Source organism: Homo sapiens, chromosome 8, assembly GCF_000001405.40.
Source record: "Homo sapiens chromosome 8, GRCh38.p14 Primary Assembly".
Classification (NCBI taxonomy): Eukaryota; Metazoa; Chordata; class Mammalia; order Primates; family Hominidae; genus Homo; species Homo sapiens.
The window spans coordinates 133,065,711-133,091,477 of NC_000008.11; the positions used below are offsets into that span (position 1 = coordinate 133,065,711).

General features: G+C 45.2%; 2 protein-coding genes across 16 annotated transcripts in view; one reads left to right on the forward strand and one right to left on the reverse strand.

The window, feature by feature from the left end:
- The window catches only part of TG (thyroglobulin), a 267,942-nt gene that overhangs the window by 198,753 nt on the left and 43,422 nt on the right, over window positions 1–25,767 (forward strand). Inside the window, exon 42 of one of the 9 annotated variants that reach the window (XM_017013798.2) lies at window positions 25,035–25,148. The exons of the other annotated variants lie outside the window; for them this stretch is intronic. Coding sequence (XP_016869287.1) covers window positions 25,035–25,133 — 99 coding nt within the window. The 3' untranslated portion in view covers window positions 25,134–25,148. Of the gene's footprint in view, window positions 1–25,034; window positions 25,149–25,767 lie in introns of those variants that run through there. 9 annotated transcript variants of the gene reach the window in all.
- SLA (Src like adaptor) overlaps window positions 1–25,767 on the reverse strand; it is a 65,875-nt gene that overhangs the window by 28,983 nt on the left and 11,125 nt on the right. For 3 of the 7 annotated variants that reach the window (XM_047422110.1, XM_047422107.1, XM_047422108.1), the window contains exon 1: window positions 9,143–9,317. The exons of 3 other annotated variants lie outside the window; for them this stretch is intronic. The gene's annotated coding sequence lies outside the window, so the exon portion shown is untranslated. Of the gene's footprint in view, window positions 1–9,142; window positions 9,421–25,767 lie in introns of those variants that run through there. One more of the 7 variants, NM_001045556.3, reaches the window with a different exon arrangement.

Consider the following 25,767-nt stretch of genomic DNA (forward strand, 5'->3'; position numbering starts at 1 on the left):
GAGATCAGGCCATTGTACTCCAGCCTGGGAAACAAGAGTGAAACTCCGTCTCAAAAATAATAAAATAAAATAAAATAAAATAAAATAAAAAAGTAAAATAAAAGTCATCAAAACAAACCTTAGGAAGCATAAACTTTGGGGGAAACTTTAATACAATGGAGGCCCTGAGGGATCTCTTGGATGTCACTTGGCAGTGTTTGGAAGCCCGGGTCTGGGTTTCCAGCGGGGATGAGGGGTGCAGAAGTGCTGCTGGGAGCAGAAGAAACAAGAGAGCGAGGCCAGTTGAGGCATGCTGTGGTCAAAAGGGCAGGAGTGAATCGCAAGGAATGTTTTCTAGCCTTTCACAGCATTATTTTTAAAAGCTGTTACTTAGGAGGCTGAGGCGGGCAGATCACGAGGTGAGGAGATCGAGACCATCCTGGCTGACATGGTGAAACCCCGTCTCTACTAAGAATACAAAAATAAATTAGCCGGGCGTGGTGGCAGGCACCTGTAGTCCCAGCTACTTGGGAGGCTGAGGCAAGAGAACGGCGTGAACCCAGAAGGCAGAGCTTGCAGTGAGCTGAGATCTCGCCACTGCACTCCAACCTGGGTGACAGAGCGAGACTCTGTCTCAAAAAAAAAAAAAAAAAAAGCTGTTACTGCTGTGGAACAAAACAAAAGAAAAGAAACAGAAAGGAATACTAGCTGTGCTTTTAGAATCTCTGTTTCATAAAAATGTGCCACTCAAATGCATACACGTGGAAAAATATTAAAGAGAAATTTCCAAAATGTTTCCAAGGACTCTCTCTGGGTAGTGATTTTATATGTGAATTTATAAATTTCTTATTTACTTACACATTTCTAAAATACCCAGATTTTCTCCCAAGTGCCTGAATTGCTTTTATAATCAAAAGGTTGGAAAGAATGAGGGCGCCTTAAAGAAGAGATTTTCAAAGCAGGCAGGCCTGAGTGCAGATTCCAGCTCCCAACCTACTGGCTGTGTATCGCTGGGCAAGTTAGTTCACTTCTCTGAGCCTTGATTTTCAAATCCACTAATTTGGGATACAAGTATATGCCCTATGGGGTTGTTTTGAGGTTGAAATTATGGGTCATATCTAAAGCAGAGATATGTTTGGTAAATGGCAGCTAAAAATTTACCAAAGCTAGATCCCGTGCAGGGGCTGGGGGGTTGGCTAACTCACTGTGCAAGCTTGAGCAAGTACCTTCCTCTGTCTGGGCCAAAGAGTCCTCAAATCTGATGGGGAAAGGGTTGGGCTGAACAGTTGGTCATGGCTCTTTTGCCTCAACCATTTTCCCGCCGTGACTGTACCCAGTACCGGCACAATTGACTAGGGACTTGCTCAGTGCTGCCTGTGGTCTGACCCTTCCTTTCAGGAAAAATAAGAGCTGGCACAGGGGCTTAGCATCCGGTGGTCTCCCTGGCAGGATTTCCGGGGTCACCCACCACATCCTGACCTCACTTCACAGGTGCACCTCTCTGAGTGCGAGGCTGGGGGCTGCCGAGGCCACTTACCCCGTGACCCACATAGTCCCCTGCTCTCCTCTAGGGCAGGTGCAGCCGCAGGCCTGTTCTACCTGCTCCCACCCCACCCCCATCTGCTTCTCCTTTCTCTACACTGCAGAGGAGGGCTGCGGCATACCAGGGGCTCTAGGGGCACTGGCAAGACCTACAAGGGCAGGCAGCCAGCTCAGAGAGGACATGCAACTCCTAGCCTTCTTCTCAGGCCTGACTCCAAGCCAGAGGCCCTCAGAAACCCCTGGGGAAGAACGTGGGATCCTCTTACCTAAGATATTTCAAACACCTGGAATCCCAGCATGTTGGGAGGCTGAGGCAAGTGGATCACCTGAGGTCAGGAGTTCAAGACCAACCTGGCCAACGTTGTGAAACCCTATCTCTACTAAAAATGCAAAAATTAGCTGGGTGTGGTGGCAGCTTCCTGTAATCCCAGTTACTCAGGAGGCTGAGGCAGGAGAATCACTTGAACCCGTGAGGCAGAGGCTGCAGTAAGCTGAGATCGCACCGCTGCACATTCCAGCCTGAGTGACAGAGCAAGACTCCATCTAGAAAGAAAGAAAGAAAAAGAAAGAAAGAAAGAAAGGAAGGAAGGAAGGGGGAGAGAGAGAGAGACAGAGAGAGAGAGAAAGAAAGAAAGAAAGGAAGGAAGGAAGGAAGTATGTATGGAAGGAAGGAAGGAAGGAAGGAAAGAGAGAGAGAGAGAAAGAAAGAAAGAGAGAAAGAAAGAAGGAAAAGAAAGAAGGATTCCCTAGAAGCTCAATACATAGAATAGATGAAAGGGAGTAGCTGCCTGGGGCTGGGGGCTCAGCTCAGCATCTCATCCCTCTACTACTCTTGATAGGATACCTCAATCCTGGGGCATCATAAAGCATCACTTGAAAAGTAGCAACTCAACACTCTCACAGGACAAGGGAAAGGCTCAGAGAGGGCAAGCAATCTGCTCAAGGTCACACATTAAGTTTGGATGAATGCATGACTCCCTGCCCAGCACTCCATGCCCTGCAGGAGGGGCAATGCCCATCTATCTGTCAACCAGGCTGCAGACCTGACCCACATGTCCAGGAGCCTGTATGCTGGCCCCCTCTACCCTTGAGTGCCCAGGAGGGGATCTCATACACTCTCAGGCTAACAGAGAGGCTGGGCTTTATGCTAAGACCAGAAGGGGATGGAGGTGTCCTAGTGTACATTTTAAGGTCATTTTAAGATATCATGGAAAGAAGCCAGATTTGAGGCCTGTCAATGCTGGGGCAAGTTTTAATTCCATTCTTTATTAAGTCACTAGACCACTCTTTCTGCTGTTTTTGTTTTTGTCTTTAATGAACATAGTCATATGTGCCTTCCTGGGTGTTCTCATGGAAGGATTGGCAAGAGGAGGTGTTGAGGGCTGTGCACACCCTGCAGTCTCCGTGGCTCACCACCACACTGACGCAAGGGGCTCAGTGACCCAGACGTGTCAGTACAGTGAGTGGGCGTCTTATGAAGAGCTGTCTGGCATACGGAGGCGGGCAGCAGAAGCCATTCCTGACGTGGCTTTGATAGTTCATGGAAATAAAAAGAGCCCATTTCTTTCTTTCTAGATAGACTTTCTGTACACAGAGGCCCCCAACACAGGGATGGTGAGGTGGGGCACCACCCAGTCAGCCTGTGGCTCTGTTGGACCAGAACAAATTTGCTGACAAAACCAGGCTATAAATGGGGTTTGGCCTAGGCCAGGTCCTGGATACCTCTAGATCATATAAGCAGGCTGGCCTAGCAAACATTGGCAATGAAGAAAGAGTGGTAAAGACAATTATTTTAATCCTAGCCATTACATAGAATGGGGAAACAGTGACTAGGAAACAGGCCTTTTCTTTTCATTTCAAATGTGGATACTTGAGAAAGGCAGGTTTCATCACAGAAGGTGGAGGTAGATGGAAACTTTCATGAACATCCTAAAGGTCACCCAGGCTTCTAGGCACAGGGACTATAAAGTCCGTGATTTCTTTATTGCATCGTATTTCCCAGCAAGAGTTACTTTTCCTTTTTATTCGTACATGTGAATCACAGCATTACTCATAAACTTATCAAGCAAGATGGGAATCAGCATTTCACCTGACACAGCATTTGCCAGTGACCTGATCTGGGATCTCCCCTCACTGTCAGTCACTTGTCCAGGGACATGGACCCCAGAACCCCACACTCTACAGCTCCCAGGCATTTGGTCTAATGGGGCTTGGTCTCTCTAAAGAGATCTCCATGATGTTTTTAATTTGCTATTAATGTGCTCCTCCTTAGCTCCTGTTCCCTCCTTAGCTCCTCAGGAAAGCCAATTGCCTTAGGGTGGGTCACAATTCGACGGTCATTTGTGTGACTGAGTGGTGAGTGACCGTCTCCCCTACTGGACTATAAGTGCCTTGAGAGCAGCCAGCAGGTTTGTTTCTACTCTCGGCTGGGGCTCAGTAGATGCTCCATAGGGAAATAAAAGGGAACAGTTAGAAACAGAAGAAAAAGGCCAGGTGTGGTGGCTCATGCCTATAATCCCAGCACTTTAGGAGGCTGAGGCAGGCGGATCATTTGAGGTCAGGAGTTCAAGACCAGCCCGGCCAACATGGCAAAAATCTCATCTTGACTAAAAATACAAAAATCAGCTGGGCGTGGTGGCAGGTGCTGAAATCCCAGCTACTTGGGAGGCTGAGGCAGGAGAAATGCTTGAACCCAGGAGATGGAGGTTGCAGTGAGCCGAGATTGTGCCACTGAACTTCAGTCGGGGTGACAGAGCAAGGCTCCAGCTCCAAAAAAAAAAAAAAAAAAAAAAAAAGAAAGAAAGAAAGAAAAGAAAAGAAGAAAAGAAAGGAACTGAAGAAACAATGTGGGCCTAGGAGACCGCGGATTTGTGGTGTGCTAGTAAATGTCAAACAATCAATGTTTCAGGGGGAAAAATTCCTAATAGTGTGTGCCAATTTCTGTGGTGTAAATACTCCCACCATGCTGACTTCCAGTTTCCAGTGTGACATCTCTGAGGACGGAGTAGGAAAAAGATGTGTGGAGCGGTCTCATAAGCCAGCACAGGCCGCATCCAGACACCACTGGAGCGAACCGACTCTTTATGAAATCTTTCTCCCAACAAGCATCTGTTTTTGGAACAGTTGCCCACAGGCCTCTCTATTTGTTTTCAAAACAAAAGAGACTAATCTAAGTGGGCATCCACTATGCGGAGGGCCTAAAGGAGATGTTTAAAATACACGGACTCATTTGATGCCCCCAAGAACATACTGTTTTATAGACAAGAAAACTGAGTCTCAGAGAGGCTAAGTGACTTGCTCAGGGTCGTACAGCTAGCTCAGGGCTGGGGCCAGCATGGGAATCTGAGTCTCAGAGAGGTAAGTAATTTGCTCAGAGTTACAAGGCTTGTTCAGGGCTGGGTCTAGCCTGTAAATCCTTTGTCTTTTTACTCCCACTCCTAATTCCTTCAGTAATACCTTCATCCCAGCTTAATAAAACTTTAATTCTAAAAGCAGATGCTCTAAGAGCTGGGTCTGCTGGCAAGACCAGAGGAGAATGCACACAGGCCTGGGAGCTGGTGTGCACACTGGCCCGTGTCTGCAGGCACCCCCGCTCCTGACCGTGGTGAAGTTGTCCCTTCTCTCTGGACAGTAGTTGTCAACTTTGTCATAAAATCACTGGGATGGGTGGCTCCAAGACTGTGAGAGGAAATTTATCTCAATTGTTTCCCCTAATTTTATCTAATTTTCATTTTCTGCACTTTCTGTCTTTAGAACCCACAGTGGGCCAATCAACTCCCCTGAGATTGTGGCCAAGTCACTTTCCTCTTTTGGTGTCAGTTCGCCTTTCTATAAGTAGTGAGGGAGCCAGCTGGAGGCCTCCCTGTGTCCACCTCAGATTGGTGCCGTCCCTTGATGAGGCTTCGTGTACAACAACAGGAGAGGGGGCACCAGTGCGTATTGAGGAATTGTGTGTCCTAGGTGTGTTACATGTACTCTCCACTTGACCTCCACAACTCTCTGGAGTATGCATCATTACGCTGAGGCCTTTTGTCTAACCGGGGAAACCAAGGCCAGAGCATTCACATAATGTGTCGGAGTTTGCCCAGCTGGAAAGTGCTGGAGGTGGTACTGGAATCCAGGCATCTGGCTCTAGAGCCTGGCTCCCAGCTACCGTGTCCTTAGGCCTGAGGAAAGGGATGGAGGGCAGCTTAAAGCAGAGCTCTCCTTTTTTCTGGCAAGGTTATGGTACTCTTTTGTGTGCTAGAGGGTTATGCTTGTCATAGTTATTCAGTAGGTGGATTGATAGGTTTGTGGATAGAGCGGTGCAATGAGAGGTGGGTCCACACACTCTGGTGCTTGGAACTTGCATTCAGAGGATGCCTATTTTGAGCTGATTGTCCATGTGACTTGGATGGCATGCAGCGGGGAGAGGGGAGGAGTGGGGGGAGGAGGCGCACCTGCAAACTGGAGGGAACACGTTCAGCTCCCAGGGTTAGTGGGAGAATTAAATGAAACCGACTGCACTGACTACACTTGGTCCCCTCTCTTCTCTCTCCCTGGCTCTGTTTCCTTCACGGCACATACCACGATTTGTCCTTATGTATTTGTTTCTCTAAATGCTTACTGCTCCCAGGGCAACTTTCTTAGGATAGGGTTCATGTCTATTATATTCCTCAATGAAAAGCCATGATCTAGCCGGTGTCTGGCACATAATGCAAGCTCAGTTAGTTAGAATGAATGACTGAAGGTATTGTATATAAACTGCCTGGCACAGTATAGGCAAGAGGTGGTCCACTTCCAGGGAAGCCTGGACCGTCTGAGGTAGCTATTTTGCCCCTAAGCACAAGCCAGCAACAATTCTCACTTTCTTCGGAAGCTCTTTAAGTCTCCCAACTTCACTCACCAACCCCCTCTACACACATATACACACCAAGTCCTCCAGCCCTGGTTGCAGTCTGCCTGGTGCTAAGGAGCGAAGTGTGACTTTGCAAAGCTGTTTGACAACAAAAGAGAACCACTGAGCCCCCAACCCCTAAAATTGCTGTCTTAGCTAGAATTACCATAATCAAATTGCCTCCTCCCTTAGCGGTTCTCAGATAGGAGGAAGTGGTTTGAACAGAGTGTACTTATTTCCTTCGGAACTTGTAGGGAGATTGAGAGAGGGAGGAAGTCGATCACATGATGTGACCTCAATGGATATTTTATTGCAGGAAGAGAGGGATAGATGGATAGATGGATAGATAGATAGATGGATAGATAGATAGATGGACAGATAAATGTATGAACAGGACCCTTGGGCTGCTAACAAGAACCAAATGGTTTGGTCTGAAATATGCTGGAAGTTTTGATGGGAACTTTAAGTTTCAGCCTCTCTCAGAGCTGGGAGAAATACATTCTTGATGAATGTCAAATAAAAACATAAAACCCAGCAGCATCTATTAATGCAGGGCACTGATTTAGGTGCACTAGAATGAATAATTTCTGTCTTTAAAAAGGCTCATTTCCCTTGGAAATACATTGCCAGATTTCACAATTTAGAATGGGGAAGTTTTCTTCTGAAAGTGACTTAGGAAAGTGTTATTCGGAAAGCGACTTTAGTTTGCTGCAATGCAAACCTACCCCTGTCTGTTTCGTTTATATCAGAGGGAGGAACAAGCAGAAATACATATTCAGAAAAATGGAGGAGTGCCCCACTCATTGCTTTAGCTGTTTAATCCATCATATTTAACACTGTTTATTAATAGCTTTCTGCCTAGGAAATGTAAAAGGGATTGGATATATTTTAATTGTCTGATTTAGAAATGATACCAATAGCTCCTATTTAGTACCTATTATCTCCTAGATAGTACATGTAAACTTCTTTCAAACATACAGAGAAACTGGTCTTCTTTTTACAAGGAAAATACTCGAAGGGGCAAAGTGACTTGTACAGAGTCACAGAGTTCTTTGGTGGCCGACCCAGAATGTTGACACAGGTGCAGCTATTACGGCACAATCTTTCTATGTTGCCATCTTGCTGCTCTGATCTAGATTGTAGATCTGTTTAAGATGAAGGAATCTAATTAGATTTCAATTTGTCTATTCCATAGGTTTTTAATATTATTATACTTTCAGAGCATATTAAGCACTCTTAAATAGAATTCTTCTTCTTATTTTTTTTAGATGAAGTTTCGCTATTGTTGCCCAGGCTGGAGTGCAGTGGCACCATCTCAGCTCACTGCAACCTGCAACCTCCACCTCTCGGGTTCAAGCGATTATCCTGTCTCGCCTCCCGAGTAGCTGGGATTACAGGCACCCGCCACCAAGCCCAGCTAATTTTTGTATTAAATAGCATTCTTCTAAATGGAGACTATTAGTTGCAACAAATTTGCCAGAATTTTTACCTGGGCTTACCTCTCCACTTTTCGAAGGACCACAGCCCAGTTTAATAGACTTGCAGCTCAGCATCTCATAGCAAACCACACAATGACAATTTAAAGACTATGGGGTGCATTTTTTCCTAAAGTCAAGGGCACCACTTTAAACACAGGCCTCAGCTCTGCATCCGCTTGTTCTCGCTGAGGCTCCCCCAACCCTTTAGAGCCCCTCACTTGCCTCTACCTCCCACCAGCTCCGTGACTTGGACAAGCCACCTAACTTCTCTGAGCCTCATTTCCTCAGTTTTCAAAAGCAAATAACAATCACAATCCTATAGGATTGTTCTGAGGATTGCAGAAAAATAACTTTTTATGCATTGCTCCTCCCCAGCCACTCGGGATGGTGGATATCACCTCCTGACACCCCCATGCACAGCCCCAAATGAGGACATTCTGAGGCCAAAGCTCAGGTCACTTCTTTGACACCAGGCTCTCTCCATATGTAGACACCTAAAAGAATGTGGAGTGTGCCATATTTCTTAGAAAATTCCCGTTGTCCTAAATCTCTTCCAACTCTAACATGCTGTTTTCAGAATTTATATACTTCACATGTTTGCCTTTCCTTTGATTCCTCCTTTTCCCCATACACATACCACCTGCTCAGATTGTTATTAATTATCTTCGGCATCTTCTTAAAGAAGATGCATACAATCACACTCCAAGTAGCGCTATTGCAATCCCTCAACCCACCTGGCTCCATGCACCTTTAGACATCATGACTCCAGCCTGATAGCGTTTACTGAGCACCTGCTGTATGCTGAAACTGGCCTGGGCACCTAGCATATGTCAATTTCTTCACTTTGCCCTATACCTGTGTGCATTAGGTACCATCATTGTCACTTTACAGATGAGAAAATGAAGGTCTGGAGAGGTTTAAATGAGTCCCTCAAGGTCGCACAGCTAGGAATTCTGATGGCAAATCCCAATTATCCTTTGTAAGAAGCCTGCTAAGTACAAGCCTTTTTGGCGAGAATGTCTCCTCTGGCAGCATCCTGCCCCTGCTCCTCCAGCCCTTCTCTCCACAGAATTATGCATCCAACACCCACTGAGCCACTGCAGTGTGCTGGGCACCAGGTTGGGGGCTGGGCTTCTCTCAAGACATTGCCCCACCTGTTCTCAGGGAGCTCCTTTCTGACTCCAGAAAGTCAACCCCTGCCAACTGCGTGTTGAAGAGGCCCTGAAGTCTCTCCCCACCCCATCTCTGCCACATACTCCCAAAATACCTTCACACACTGGGCATGACTCCTGTGGGAGCTGTCTGCAGAGGGATTGCTGGGTGCAGAGTCACTGCCTCTCCGTCTGTCAACTGCTGCTGCTCCAGAATAAACAGGCAGCCGGGCTTCTCGCGGTTGTGGAGAAGCAGCCCATGCTACACAGAAGAACTGCAGTTGCTAAACTGGCCGCATACTTCCTCTGCTAGGAACGAGGAAGGCACAGGGCTTGCAGAAGGGCAGGTTCCTGTTTTCAGTAACCACTCTGAGCAAGCTTCTCTCTGCAAGGACTGGGAAGATAGATGGGTTATTAATTTTTTTACAAAGCATTTGAGAATATGGCCAGCTTAACTCTGGATTCTGGAATTTCAGAAGCTTGGTCTTCTTTCTCTAATTAAAAGGCAAATCAATGGGGCTGTGAATTTGCTCTTGTACATCCCCAGAACTCTCTGGGCCCACGAAGGCTGTGGCTAAGAGCTGCAGCTTCTCTGATTTCGGTTTCCCAATTTTTGCAGCTTCCTTCTGTTACTGCCGAATGGACCCCAGAGCAATGCTTTGAGATTAAAGGAGACTAAAGAGACACAATGACTTGGTGCCAATGTGTGCGTCAAGGGAAAAAAACTAGAAAGAACATTATGAGATGGCAGTTGTTTGAATATATACTGCACAGTTGATAATACTGTTCCAGTCTTAAGTTTCTTGGACATGGTAATAATAGTGTGGTTATGCGGGAGAACGTCTAGTTCTTAGGGGACATGCGGTGACCAAGAGGATGTCTCGTATCATGACGGCTATATCTTTCAAAGAGTTTGTTAAAAGAAAAGCTGCATCCCTATATCTACAGCCATCATATTGGCACAAAAGTTATTGTGGTTTCTGCCATAGAAGTAATGGCAAAAACCACAATCATTGTGGCACCAACCTAATACATCTACATCTATATATCAAGACACAGGAAGAGAATGAGGGAGACAGAAGGCAAACGGGACAAAATGTTAATACTTGGTGAGCCTAGGTGAAGGGGATATAGGTGTGCATTGTTCTACTCTTGCAAGTTTTTGGTGAGTTTGATGTTAAAATACGTGTGTCTTTATGTTATATATTATAAAATGTATGTTGTATATGTTATACATTATGTAAATATTGCATATAAAATCTCCCTACTTACAGTACGTGAGTCTCAAGCAGAGAAACTCAGGCACATGGGGCTTCAGAGCTTATTGATGAAACAGGTAAAATTTCTGGAATGCTGACCCCAAGATTGCCTGGGAATTGCCTGCTTGAGCTTGGAATGCCAGGTAACCACACTGGGATGGCCCTCAGAGCCCCTCACAGCCCCTCACACCTCACAGAGTGGACAGAGCATCAGAGACTTGAGTGATCTGTCCACAGTCACACAGCTAGTCCCAAAGAAGAGCCAGGGCCAGAATCTACGGCCGGTGACCCAGGCCCCAGTCCAGTGAGGCTGACACAGCCACCCTGGGACAGTCATTTGGAAACCTCACTTGGGGTAGTTTGCAAAGATGAATCAAAACCCTCAGGGCTGCTTCTAAATTTAGCAGGCAGGCACTCTGCACTAGAGAGATGGTTCCTTAGACAACTTGTGAAAACACCCGCTCAAGAAGAGCATGCTGGGAAGGTACAAAGGAACTATTGCAAAAGACTGAGTGGGCAGTTTGCTTTACAGGGAAGACGGGATAGGCAGAAATATGCAGAAGTGGAGATTTTCCCCCAAATTCACACAGAGGAGTAAAAGAGCTTTAGACTGATAGTCAGAGGTATGAGTTTTGTGATGACTTTTTAATAGACACTTACCAAGAAAGAATCTAGTACAGATGAAGCTCTGAATTTATTCCCTGTCATTTCTTTAGTAAAACTTTATTGAGCAAGGCATATTCCACAAACTGGGATTTAGCTGTAAAAAAAAAAAAAAAAAAAACAACTGCAAAAGCCCTGCCCTTCCCTGTACTTAACTTAATTTAAAGGGGACTACAGAGACATGGCGACTTGGTGCAAAGTGTGGGTCACGGGAAAAGAACTAGAAAGAACATTATGGGGTGGCGGTTATTTGAATATGTACTACACAGCAGATTCTACTACTTCCCCTAGGAGGAGTCCTATGGGAAAGACTGAATATGTGACTATCAATTATGGCGACCCATCAAAGAAACTCAATGGGTTGATGGGACCGAGGGGCGCAGATGTGCTACTTTGCACAGGTGGCCAGTCGTGGGGTGGATGGGCTCTCTCTAGAGATATCATTAGGCTGAGAACTGTAGGAGGAAAGGAAGCCAGCCCTGGGACAAGCCAGGGCATGAGAGGTGTGCGCAGAAGGGACTGCTGGTTTCACACAAGCTTTAAAAGTTTTTGGGAAAGACAATCAGCCCTAAAGATGTTCAAGTCAGAGGCAGAGGCAGACAAGAGAGAGGCCCATAGAGTGGGTTCCTGTTCAAGGGGTCCCGTTCACAGGAGAAGCTACAGAAGAAGGAGAAAGGCAGGATGCAGAGCCCTGGAGGTCAGGGCCGCAGGCTCTTCTCTGTTTTTGTCCAGTGGGTCATTGGGTGACTGAAGGGTTGCTGCTAACCTCCCCTGACCCCCAGCCCGGGGTGTTTATGACCCTCCCTTTCGCCTCCTGGAGTAACCGAGGAAACTTAGTAGGTTTGAGAAAGTGTTCCTCATACTGGGCACTGTGCTATCCCAAAGCCTGGGCTGTGCCAGAGCAGGGGGATGGAATGGAGGTTTTGGCCCTGGGCCCAACCAGAGACGGCAGGGCTGAAGCCCGATGCCACGCTAGACAGGTGACTCAAATCTTAGGCCTCTGTTTTCAGTAACCCCAAGCGGGGTCTCAGCCTCAGCACTTTGGACATTTTGGATCAGGGCATTCTCTGGTGTGTATGTGTGTGTGTGTGTGTGTGTGTGTGTGTGTTTGTATGTGTGTGTGTGCGGCAGAGTTGCAGGGCTGACCTGTGCATTGGAGGATGTGCCACAGCATCTCTGGACCTGACCCCCTAGACAGCAGGAGCCCCCCGCACCCCTCCAAGTCATGACAACCAAAAATGTCCCAGAAATTGTCAAATGTGCCCTAGGGAGCAAAAATTGCCCCCAGTTGAGAACCACTGGATCATACCCATCCCAAAATAAGACACGTGTGAAGGTTGTTCTTTCTTGGGTTGTAAAGTGCTGCCCTGAGGGCAGTTGGTTTTCCTGCTTTTGTGTGGACTCAGCTCTGCAGCACGTCTGCCTGTGCTCTCTGGTACACATCTAAGAAGCTGCTGTGTAGCAAGGCTCCTTTGGGTGGCTGTGTCACCCATCCTTCCTCTCCACCATCATACACGTGACCCAAGAAGAGGAACTGGTTTGTGGTCTGTTCAGGAGTCCCTGGGAATTAGGGCTTGGAAGCTACAGTATGGGCAGCCTGTGAGCTGCATCTTAAAGGAGGAGCAGTTTGCTGTCAAGAACTGGGGTGGGAGCATGTGAGCCACGAGCTGCCTAAGGACAGGAGAGGAAGAGCAGGAGGTGGACTTCTCACAACAGAGGCCCAGCCAGGGAGGACTGTATTGTGAGTTCGCTTCCATGTCTTCCCTGCTCCTCCACCACCCTAACCATTCCTCTCTCAACCATTTTCCATACTGTTCCTCAGTGATTCACACACCTTTTTCTTCTAATCCATCAAGAAGTCTCGAGTCCAAGAATATTGTCATTTATTCAAGCATGCATTTTGTGCTCCATACATTCATTCAGTTATTCATTCAACAAATTTTGTTAGCACTCACTGTGTGCCAGACGCTATGCATGTAACTGTACTGTGTGCCAGGCAAGACTAGGCCCTACCCTCAAGGAGTTCAAAGCTAAACACTCTTTTTTCTCTGTTTTCCAGGCCCAGAACAAAACAATGTTCATTACGTATTTGCTGAATTACTCACTTTAGCCAACATCTATTGTAAATTTCGTGTATGTATAACCTATATTCAGAGGACAGACGGGGAGAGAATTCTCAGGTAGAGCATGAATGTATCTCCATCCCTCCCTGCCCTCAAGGAGTTTCTGATCTAGCAGAGGAGACAGACACACATATCAAAACCCCAGGGTGTAAAGAAAGATGTCGGTAGGGAGGGGGCCAGTAGAGGAGACCAAGAAACCTCTAGGGCTCCTGGTTTCACACAGGAACTTCATGGCACTGAGGCATGGCGGGACCACATCAGATTCCATCCCAGCAGCTTGGTCTTCTAGGTCCATGTACTGAGTCAGCACAAGAAGCAAAGACAAAAACACATAGCAGGTGATGCCCCCACCAAGGACGTCAAGTGTAAGCATGGAGTCAGGCCAGGCTCTGCTGTACTGGCCGAATGACACTGTCAGGAGGTCAGGCTTTAGGACTCAAAAAGACACCCAGTACCATCTGTGTAGGAAGCAGCTGATTTCCAGAGGGCTTTGCAAATTAATTAGAATTAACTACTGGGGCCCAGACTAATGACCATAGGCAAATAATAACAATGCCAGCCATGCAAGGATTGAGAGTCACTCAGTTAAGTACTACGCTGTGGTCATCACCTTATTAAAGTGAAATGTTCCCCTATGTAAAAACTAGCTTTACATACTTCACGTTGTCAGGAGCCAGTTGTTATATTTCTCCAACATGTGTTGATGGGTTTCCCAGGGGAAGCAATAAAAAGCCACTTCTCCAGCTTCAGGTCTCGGAGGAGTTCCAGGTTCTAGGAGGTTAAGAGCTCCTAAGGCAATTCAGCATCATGCGGCAGATGTGATGTTGCAGCCCCATGCTGGGTCAGAGTCACAGCTTGGTCCAGTATGAGCAGATTTCCATTCCTACTTTATAGCTTGATTTGTTTTCCTCTTTCAACAGAAATATTCAAAAGTTTGGAAGAAGGAAAAGGCAGTCTTGGGAACTAGAAAGCTTTCTATCGATGGAGAAAACCAAGTGTAAGCTAATTCATTTGGTAGAGAAGTTCAATACCACTTATTGAATGCAAGGCATGACACTTGGTGCTATAAAACTGTTGATGGGATTCCCATATCAAACCATATGACCTTCAAGATCGCATACAAGATAGAAGTTCTCGAGAGTAAAGTTTTGCCCCCTCTATGGCTAGATGAGTGCTGACCCACTTATACAATAATTTAATAACAGTTTTTTGAACCCCTTCAATGTGTTAGGCATTTCTCTGGGTATGGAGTTAGAGAAATAAATGAGTAAAGTCATAGAAGGGAACTGAAGGCATGGGGACAGTAAGAGGAACTCTCCCCTTAGAAAGGTGACATTTGAAATGAGTCCAGAGTGACTCTGGCATGAAAATCAAGAGGAAAAAACACCAGGCAAAGGACATAACTGGTACAAAAGTTTGGGGCTGGAAATACTTGTGTTCAAGGAGCAGACAGAAAGGAAAGGGAATGAATATTGGGGAAATGCAACTTGGCCTTTGCGTATGTTACGTATTTAGTCTTTCCACTCACTCTATGTATCTAGACTTCACCTGAAGAAACTGGCACTCATAGGGCTTAACATAGTTGCCTCCAGTCACTCAGCTGATGAGTGACACCACTAGGCCTAGGCTCATGGGCTCTGGAAGTAGGAAATTTGCTGTCACTATTTCACTAGCCTCCCATTGGGTCTTCCCACGTCCCACCTCTCCCCGCCAATGCTCCCTTCCCATCCTCTTTCAGCCCTGTGTTTCCAAATAAGACTCAGGCCCTGCTGCTATCCTCCTCAAGCAGCTGCCCCAAACTCAGGACCATCTTCATCCCTTTCCCACAGGAACCACTTCACCCCTTTCCTGGCATTCAAAGCTCATCAATCTGTTCTCCACCCTCCTTATCAGCCCCATGGCAATGTCAGCACTCAAGGCCTCCATGCCCCACTCACCATAGGAACTCCCCTACCACTGTGCACTGTAGACAAGCCCCTCACCTCTTCCTCATGCACTTCACCACTGCCCTTTCTTTCCTGTGTGGATGCCTTTCCCCCTGCAAGGGCATGGGGCAGGTCCCTTCAGGCCCAACCCAGTGCTAACATCTAGGAAGATGTCCATGCATCTTCCTAGATGCCTCTCAACCAACAATGATTGCTCCCTCTCAGAAGGCCACTTGGTGTTTTATTTGCATCCTAGGAATGGGACACATTGCGTATTGGAGTAACGAGCAAGAGAGGATTTGAAGTACTTAGGAGTTGTGTGATCTTGTGGGACTCTCTGATTCTTTCTCTCAGCCCAGTGATGTTACTAATACTACTTTATCATGAGGGTCCATACATAATAATGTGTACAGCCCACCTGGTCTCCTGGTCTAGCGCAAGGCGCATAGGACGGGACCCACCAGATAGAGGTGCTTTTCTTTCCTTTCAAATTGGAGCCTGAGCTTGGGAAGGCAGGAGTATGTCTAACCATGACCATGGAGCCTAGCACAGAGGCTATCCCCAAAGATGTGATCCGTAACTATCCCTCAGTAAAAGAATAAATGAAGGTTGTGCCTTTTGAATTAAAGTAAATAAATTGTGAATGGTGACTTTTCACCTCTGGGGAAGACAATAAGCTAACTATGAAAACCATCTGGGGGGAGAGCAGACCCTATTGTTTCTCTGGAGATAAAAGTTTATGTTTCTGGAACATCTCCAAAGTTGGATCAGCGGTCCATCTGGATGAGCTGATTTCTCCAGCTGGAGTGGAACCTAAATGTGTATGTCATCAGAATCTTCGGGAGGTCTTTTGGCCCTAAAATTATTCTCAGGAAGAAGAAGAAAAAAAAAGTAGCCGCTTTATGTCCACCACAACTGTCTGCTGCGAAGAGCTGCACAGATATGTTGATTCGTTCAAGCTGTTCTCTTCTGTCATTGCTCAACCTAGACCCACTGCCTCCACATCGGGGGAGATCTTACTGTTCTCAGCCATGCAAGGGTTGATGAAGAGGTCAGCAGTGTTCCCAGAGGTTGGGAAGTTCTCTGAGCAGGACCCAATTTCAGTTGTTTGCAATGTTGCTTGCTTTGCTCACTTCCTGTAGCTGCACTCCTGTGTAAGCCTTCCTGCCTCTGACGGATTGTCACACAGGCCCCACTCAAGAGAACACAGCTCCAACAGAAGCGCAGAGGAGGAAACAGGCATCTCATTTCTAAGCAAAGAGGGCTGTAGCCAGGAATGTTGAAACCTTGTATTGTATCTTCCCTTGGTGCCAATTTAGAGTCTATCTTCTGCAAAGGGCACAGAGATCCTTGTGAACTCTGTTTAAGGACACAGACAAAAGACAAAGTCTTCCCATGTATGTGGTGTATGGTGTAGGGTGTACGGTGCTGGTGTTGGTGGTGTTGGGTGTTGTCAGGCCGCATGAAGGGAATTTTTTCAAGGGTGTCTCATAACACCAACCTTCCTTATCTTTTCTATTGGTCTGACTTTCAAAAACTGTAAGTTCCAAGAAGGCAGGAGTGTATCTGTTTGGCCAGTTATTGACAGCTAGCTTTGGCACTTTGCATGACTGGGGCAACTAGCAAAGGTCCACTGGAAAGACGGAGGAAAAGAAGGGACGGAGGGCAGGAGAGACAGGGAGCAAGTTAAGAAAAAAATCTTTCCCTCCTTGTAGATTGCAAACTTTCTTAAGGCCTTAATCGTTTTTGATTCCCTGCAGCATTGGGCACATAGAAGGAGCTCACAGATGCCCATGGAATTATCCTGATAATCGACTAGCTTGCTGCAGCAGAGCAGGCTGTGGGCACCGGGAAAGTGGAAACAGCGGCTGGACATTGAGCAATAAGGCCTTTGCGGCTAGCTTCCCCACGTCACCGGAGTCAGGCCTCTTAAACACTCTGCCCTGGTATTTTCACCTCCTAAACAATAATGCCATTAAACCTTGCCCAATCACTTCTAAGTGTGCTTGAACAGCACAAAATGACGGTAGGATCTGTAACAGCATTATGATGACTTTTATTACAGTTTCCTCTAATGTTCTCATTCTATGATGCCTTAATACTTTCATGGCATATACTTTTTTTCTAATGATAAGATTCTGTTATTGTTATCAGTTTATGCTGATAGCAATTTGCCAAAGCAAACTCGAAACTAGCCTCGATGTAATTTAAAACAGTGTCATCCAGTTATAACCGACTAGATGGGTGTGAAATCATCTGTCAGCGCCTGCTTCCATGCCCACTGAGCCACAACTAATTACACTTAGTGGCGTGGGGCAGACATGGAGGGAGAGCGATGAGTAGGCAGGCCTAGTTGCTATAGAAATAGTTCTGGCCAAAACAATATTTCAATCCCAAGAACCATTTTTAGGCTGGAAAATTTTATTTTTGTTTGAGTAGCAATAATAAATAATTATAACCTGTAAAGCATGGTACAGATGTCAGTTATCATTATTTATTATTGGTAATACTTTATAACCTGTAAAACACTATACAGTTGTCAGTTATCAAGTATTTTTTGAACCTGTTACTTAATTTTCACAAGAACTCTTTGAAATATCAATTGATTTTAACAATTGCTACCACTATTTATTGTAAACTTGAAACATGTATGCACTTTACATGTTATCTCATCAATTCATCTTAACAAATGAATGAGGTAAATATTCTCATCCCTATTTTACATTAGGGGAAACTAAGGCACTGGGACTTTAAATAGTTTTCCTAAGAACACACAGCTGGTTAGAGGGGGTGTTGGACTTGAATCTGGGCTGATGGACCCCATGGCCTATGCTCTTGATGCCACACCTTGAAACATAGCACATACCCATTTTACAGATGAGGAAATGGAGACCCAGAGAATGAAGCCAATTATCAAGTTGTCAGTGCAAGAGTCAGTAAGATTTCTTCAACCCGAAAGCCCATGATCTCTCTATTTTTTTTCTGCATCTCTTTAAAATAATAATAATTATTTTATTTGAAGAGGATTTGAAGAGGATAATGTTGGAATTGTGTGATGTGGGTTCCAGAATCTAAGCAGGCTCACGGACTCACATGTGCCCTTCTCATCCAGTGCCCTGCTGCCCCGTCCAGGTTCTAGTGAAGCCACCTCCTCCTCAGATGGTCCCTCTGCACCCAGTGGTTCCCAGTTTTCCCCCTGGCTCCCCTCTCTCTGCATGGAGCCACCTCAGTCACTCAGCCCAGGCCATGCCTCCTGTGGCACTGTCCTCTGAGAGGTGACCCTGATCTCTCCCACCTTCTATGCCATTCCCTCTCCTGTGCTCATGAGGCCATTCCCACCCACCAGCATCTCAGAACTTTCTGCATGCATTGTGTTTTCTAGGGCAGGCATGGTGAGTCCTTTCTGCTGGTCAAGAGCTGGCCCATGGCATTTACTGGAGGAAGGAGGGAGGAAGCAAAGAAAGGAGGGACGAAATGGAGAGAGAGGGGCAGTCTAGGGGCTACTGGAAGGAAAATAGAAAAAGACTTTGCCTCTGTCTAGGCAGTCCCCACTGCTCTAGCTCTTCTCCTGGGCCCTGAAACAAAGCTGCAGAAAAAAATGACTAGAAAGAAGCAGTCAGGGTCTTTTACAAGTTATAATGATGAAATTATTTTTAAAAGGAAACATATGCCCATGTGTATGTATGAAGTACTCATTGACAATGGAAGGGAGGCTCAGGAGCCTGCATTTTAAATTCTCTTTGAAATAAGAGGGCAGCCATTGCCTCGGCTATCACTCATGGTGTCACTTTTAAAGTGTGACACCTTTGCCTGGGAAATCAGAAATTTTCAAGTGCCAAGCATTTAAATGGCTTCTGACAGCCAGAAGGTGACAGAGGCAATTAGGCTTCATGTTTGTAACAGATGGAAAAAGGCATTTTGTCAAGTCTGTAAGACCTGTAGGAAAATATGACAGGTGCCTGCTCTGAACTAAAGAGACAAAGCCAAGGCTCAGGTCCTCTCCATTTCCCAGCAGAAGTGCCCGGGAGAGACCCCTTAGAGCGCTCCCCCACAGGGGCCTGGGAAGGCCTCCACACTGTGCCTCCACAGGCAAGGGGGACAGTTCTACAGCTAGACCACATGGACTGCCGTGCCTGTCAAAGATGTCTGCAGAAGGCAGGTTGAGTGCAGATTCTGTTTGGCACATAGAGGGTGGGTAGTGTCATGGCTTTGGAGAAAAATGGCCTGAATCCAATTCCCCAGCAGTGGGTGATTTGGGACAAAGTCATTTACCCTCTCTGAGCCTCACTCTTTAATAAAAGAGGCACAGTCGTGTCTCCCTGCTTAGTGAGCACAAACTGAGAACAGCATGTAAAGTGCTTGGAGCACACCAGCTCCGCATTACTTTTTGGTACCTTCCTTCTCTTTCCTCCGTGTGTAGACACAGCTGGTGAGTGATTTAAGCTTGCAAGTATAAAAATATACCAAGGTATAATCTCTCTCTAGGACAGGTTAGCAGTCCATTGTAAAAACAAGTTTTTATATATCTATAGATTGTAAAATATCTATCTATAGAATGCAAGGCAGAACTCGTGGACCTTGCACTAGGCAAGCATTTCTTAGATAAGACACCAAACCTCAGGCAGCAAAAGAAAAAATAGATACATCGGATTTCATCACAATTTAAAAAATTCTGTGCTCCAAAAGATGCCATGAAGAAAGTGAAAAGAAAATCCACATAATGGGAGAAAATATTTGCAAATTATGTATCTAATAAGGGACTTGTACCAAGAAAACATAAAGAACACTTACAACTCAGTAACAAAAAGACAGATAACTCAATCTGAAAATAAGCAAGGGATCTGAATAGACATTTCTCCAAAGAAGATGTACAAATGGGCCCATAAGCATAGCAAAAGATTCTTAACACTATTAGTCAGTCATCAGAGAAGTGAAAATTAAACCCATAATGAGATATTAACTCACACACACTAGGATGCCTATAATAATAACAATTTTTAAAAACCAGATTGTAAGCATTACTGAAGATATGAAGAAGTAAAAGCATTCTTTTATTGCTGGTGGGAATATAAAATAATGCGGCCACTTTGACAAACAGTTTGGCAACTTCTCAGAAGGTTCAACACAAGAGTTTTCATGTGACCTAGCAATTCCACCCCTACCTATACATTCAAGAGACATGAAAACATGCATCCCTATAAGAACTTGTATGTGACTGTTCACAACAGCATTATTCATAATTGGCAAAAAGTAGAAACAACCCAAATGTTTACCAGCCAATGAGTAGGTAAGCAAAATATGGTTTCTCTATACAATTAAGTATAATTTAGCAGCGAAAAGATATACACTACTAATACCTGCTATAAGATGGATGAAGTAAAAGAAGCCAGACACAGAAGGCTACATATTCTATGATTCCATTTATATGAAATGTCCAGAATAGGTAACTCTACAGAGACAGAAAGTAGATTAGTGATGGCCTGCGGCTGGGAGTGAGGGTGGAGAATGGGGAATGACTGCTAATGGGTACAGAATTTCTTTGTGGGATAATGAAAATGTTCTAAAATTAGATGTGGTGATGATTGCACAACTCTGTGACTATAACTAAAAACCATTGAATTAAGTGGGTGAATTCTGTGGTATGTGAATTATATCACAATAATACAATTTCCTAAAGTTAGCTATAGATACCAAGAATCATAGTTTGAAATACTGGATAAATGTTTATCATACAACAAAAATATTCTTCTTTAATACGGATGTTCATGTGGCACCTATTTAATGAGAAACTATTAACATGCCATGGAAACAACTCATTTAATACATTTTTATTATCTTTTTGATGAAAAAAAACTATACCTTTTGACTCAGTAATGCCTTTGCATAAGGAAATCATCATGGATATGTGAATAGATTTAGTTATAAAGATGTACATTGCAGTATTGTCTGTAACATCATAAAACCTGAAACAATAATAGCCATCATTTATTAAATATTTACAATTTGTAATGCACCATACTGTTACAGGAAAACTTTCTCATTTCTTTATTACAACAATCCTATGGGGAAGCTCTCAATATTGTTATGTTCCTTACAGATGAAGAAAGTCTCAAATCAAACAGTTGCAAATCAGAGCTGGGATTTGTATCCAAGTCTATCATATTTCATTGCCTGCAGGTGCCCCTAACCTGTCTATAACATTCTCCCTAATAACCTAAAATCCTAAATGTAATTAGCATGCTGGCATTGAAAACAATCTTGTAAATAAATAAGTAATGATACAGAATGATATCGACAATGGATTGTTAGGTGAAAAAGATAGGCTCAAAAACAATATGCTGTATAGATTTCCTGAATATATGTTTACACACACACACACACACACACACACACACACACACACACACACACACACACGGAAGAGACATATTGGAGGCTAATAGCATTTAACAGTGGTTTTCTTTGATTGGGAGGATTATGTGTAATTTTAATTTTCTTTGTTTCGTTCACTTGTTTTGTCTATTTGGGGACTGCTATTTTTGCTTTAAAAATTGCAGAGGGCTTTCTGTTTCCCCTTTAAATAAGCTAAGGTCGCACTGATGGATGTAGAGCAGTATATGACAGCCTTTTTCTAGAGTATGAAAAGGATTGCATTTGTGCCTATCTGTGAAGACAGCAAGGCTTATTGCTGGACCTCTTATCTCAGCCAGAACCACCTCCTTCCTCCCTCGGGGTGTGAGGGGACTCATTTCTCTCCCACCTCTTATTGTCCCTGCAAAGGTTTTCTAAATGGACTTGGCCATGTCACTTGTCCACTGATGTGCTTACACAATAAGTTATAATGACTGTTTCCATTTTGACAAGGATCAGTCATATTTTAGTGTGGAATTCATCTTTTAAATGTAATTTAAATTTTTTCTAATTAAAAATGTAACATTAATTCATTGGAGACAAGTTAGAATAGTCTAAAAAGTATAAAAAGCCAATAGAACTCCTCCATCATTCACTCACCTTGAATTGTTAGAAGGCTCTGTGGATTGATCAAGTCAGACTATTCAAATAAACCCAGTGGGGCCAGGCAGCAGGAGGTACCCTGGGACTGGATGCCTGTGAATGTCACGTGACCTCCTCCAGCTGTTGAGACAGCACGGAATCATGGGAAATGAAAACCTGGGGCCAGAAAACCTGGGTCTTAACCTCTTTCACCTGCTACTGGCAGGATTTTAAACTTCTTAGACTCTCTTTCTTGAGTGTACCGCAAATTCTTCTTGGAATGAAGTGGGCCGTACACAGAAGAATGATTAAGAAAGTAGCGGTTTCAATAATATTGGTTCTTCCTACTTCCTAGGATGGTAGTGGGAGTTTAAAGGAGCCAATAGAGGCGAGAGCTCTGTCTTAAGCAGAATGCAGCACGGTTGTACATGTGAATCAAAGCAACTTGGGATAGACTCTCCCTTGTCTCACAAGGCCTTTTCAGTCTGCAGACATAACATGGTGTGTTTTTGAGCCCTATGGCATTCCTGTGATGGAGGAGCCAGGCTCCCCTCCTGCTCCTCCTCCTCCTCCTCCTCCTCTTGCTGTCCCAGCCACCCTTGCAAAAACCTTGCTGATGAGTGGCCATCCACCAGCCGCTCATGAGTGGAATGGAAAATAAGGGTCTGTGATGTGCTTGCTGTTTTCTCGGGTAGGTAGCACAGTGTGGGGGGAACAATGAAACCTTTATAATTCTAGCCCTGCTACTGATCAGTTCTATGACCTTGGAAAAATTACCTACCCACTCCAAGCCTCAGTCTCTCTATCTGTAAAATAGGGATTCTAATATTACACTTAGAGGGTTGTTTTGGAGATCATGAGAGAAAATGTGAATAAATGATGTGGCCCTTAGAAGGTGCCTTATAAATGTTTAATTCTTTTCTGCTTTCCTTTAAGTAAACACACACGCACTTTTTATACAAAAAAGAAGGAATAGCATTCACTAGGCCTTCTTCAAATCCTACATTTCAGATTGTCTCCTAGATCATGTCTATACCAACAGGTAGTTTTGATGCCTTTTTTCCTATGCCCTAAGACTGGGATTTCAAGACGAATTGTATTAATTACTGTCCCTGTGATGGAAGTTTTGCCAAAACTGAAGTGTTACAAATAAGAGTAAAACTCAGGCTTTTAGGGATCAAGAAAACAAGATGATTTTAGTGTAGAAAACATGCAAGAGAATACAAATATAAACTTGGATGTTTAAAAAAAGTCCATCTGTGCTTTAGCTTCCAGAGCTCTCTTCCTAAGCTGTCCTGGCTGCTCAATAGCATGCCACAATTCAGCTGGCCCACGACACCTTGGTGGCACCTTCCAGGTGTGGGTGAGTTCCCAGGAGAGGTCGGTGCGAGGGTGGAGACATGGCACTCTGGGTCACACACTACCCCTTTATCCTTAGACCTTACAAGTCACCGATGGGCTCCCTGACTCAGATGCTCCCCACTCCAGTCCATCCCACAGTCAACTAGCCGAGCCACCATCCTGACATTCATTTCCAGTTCTCTTCTGTTCCGCATATGGTGTTCCACACCTTGTGCTGGGCTTTGGGGATAGAGGAATAACTACCTCCCAACCCCTGCCATCAGAAGCTCACATTCAGGAGGTATTGATGCTCCATCCTTTACTGAGGGCCTGCTGAGCACTACCAACCATTTTCAGCACTGAGAATGCAAAGACAAAGGACCCAGTGACAGGAAATTCCCAAGCCCTTTCTGTAATACCCCATTTAAAAGCCTTTATGGATTCCTCATTGCCCGTTGCCTAAAGGATACCTGCTCTGTGTCCCAGGGTTGGTGCCTTCTAAATCACATCTCTTACTTAGTCTGGGATTTAATGACCTCTGAAGTTTACTTCTCACTACACTTCTATGGAAATTCTTCTCTTCATTTAGAAGTCACTGGTCCATCTGCCTGCCATTCATTCATTTGTTCACTCCCTCACTCATACAGTCATTCACTCACTCATGCAATACATATTTTGAGTTCCAGGCCCTGTCCTGGGGCTGTCGGATTACTTAGGACCCAGCTCCTGTCTATAACTCCCTTGGGTAATCAGCCTCTGACCCCACTGCCATCCCTGCCCACTCCCCCTCGGAATGGTCACCCACCCTGTTCCTCCCATTTATTTCCTCCCATGGAAACCCACTCAAGTCCTGATGATTCTCTGCAGCTTCTTCTGGGCCACCCTAGTGCCCAGAAATCCCTCCCTCCCCTGAATTCCCAAAGTGCAAGAATTCTTGGCTTACTCCTGCTGATTACTGGACAGAGCTCATCTGGAGGTCACCAGTACATATGTCCTGCTGGATATAGTACACATTTTTAAAAAGCATCCGCCTAAATGGGGCTTGAGACTTATGCTTCTTTGTGACTCACTTTGCCTGGAATAAAATAGAGTCAAAAGAAATACAAGGTTGATAACTCTCAGGTAATATTTGGCAATTGATTTCAATAAGCCAGCATTCAATAAGCCAGCTAGAGATAGTCACGTTTCTAGAGGCCCAGTGGTCTGGTGAGGGCTTAGAAGTCACACATCTGGTTTCTCCCAGGAGAAGCAGAGAGAAGCCCTGGGTTTGGAGTTGGAACACCTGGGTTCAGGTTCTGTGCAGCAGAGAATTTCTCCCTGAAAAGACATAGTCCTTCCTACCTGATTTAACTTCATAGTGCTGTGGCAGGACATAAATCAAGAGAGTGAGCAAAAAAGCACCTTGGCCCGTGTGTGGTACCACAGGGAAGCGAAGCAAGTTGGCAGCCCCACAGCTGCTTTGCATGTAGAGGCACTTTCCCCCAAGTCAGACAGCGCAAGGGACTTGCTCCCCATCAGCCTAGGTTGTAACGAGGAGTTTCATCAAGTTACATTGTAGGCATTAAATCATGGATAATAACATTCCTAATGATGAATACAACCAACTTTGAGTGCAAATTACACATCAGGTATTTTCCCTCCATTGTCTCCTTTAATCTGCACATCAGCTCTGTGAACGCTGATCATAATATCTCCATTTTACAGGTTAGGAACTGGAAGCTCAGAAAGACAAAGGAAATTGGCAAAATGGCCATGGGCAGAGCTGGAATTAAAACCCCAGTCTATCTGGAACAAGAGCCATGAGCTTTTTACTTTGCTTTGGCCTCACCCCGCACCCCCCGGGAACAGAAAGGAACTGTCTGCCACAAGCACGAGATGACACACTGGTTAGAACATGGAGCTCTGGCACCTGCAGCCTAGGCTCAAATCCTGGCTCTGTCACCCCCAGCTCTGAGACTCTAGGGAAGTGGCTTCAACTCTACCCTGGAGCCCCCTCTAAAGTTGAAATAATACTGTTGTTACCCAGCTCCTGGGATTGCTCTGAGAGGTAGGTGAGCTTCTACACGTACAGCCCACATTCAATGCCAGGCACACAGGATGTGCTACTTGAATGTTTGTCCTCGTCTTCATTGTTGTGTCTGTGCTGGGCACTGCTGCAAGGGCTTTGTAGGAATTAACTCCTCGATTCCACGAAGTGCCTGATGGATAAGGAGCTCACTGAGCACCTGCTTACTGGGCTTCCCATCCTTCCCCTCTCCATGTGAGGTAGACACCACTGTAGATGAGGATTCACATTCCAGGGTGGGACTGAGAAGTGCAAGGCGTGCCAGGAGGGAGGCGGAGTCCATCCAGAGGACCCTCTGACACATGGATGCCCCAGGGCAGAGCTGCCAGACCTCCTGCTTGTCCGGGTAGCTGCCCACCCCGCTTCTTGTTG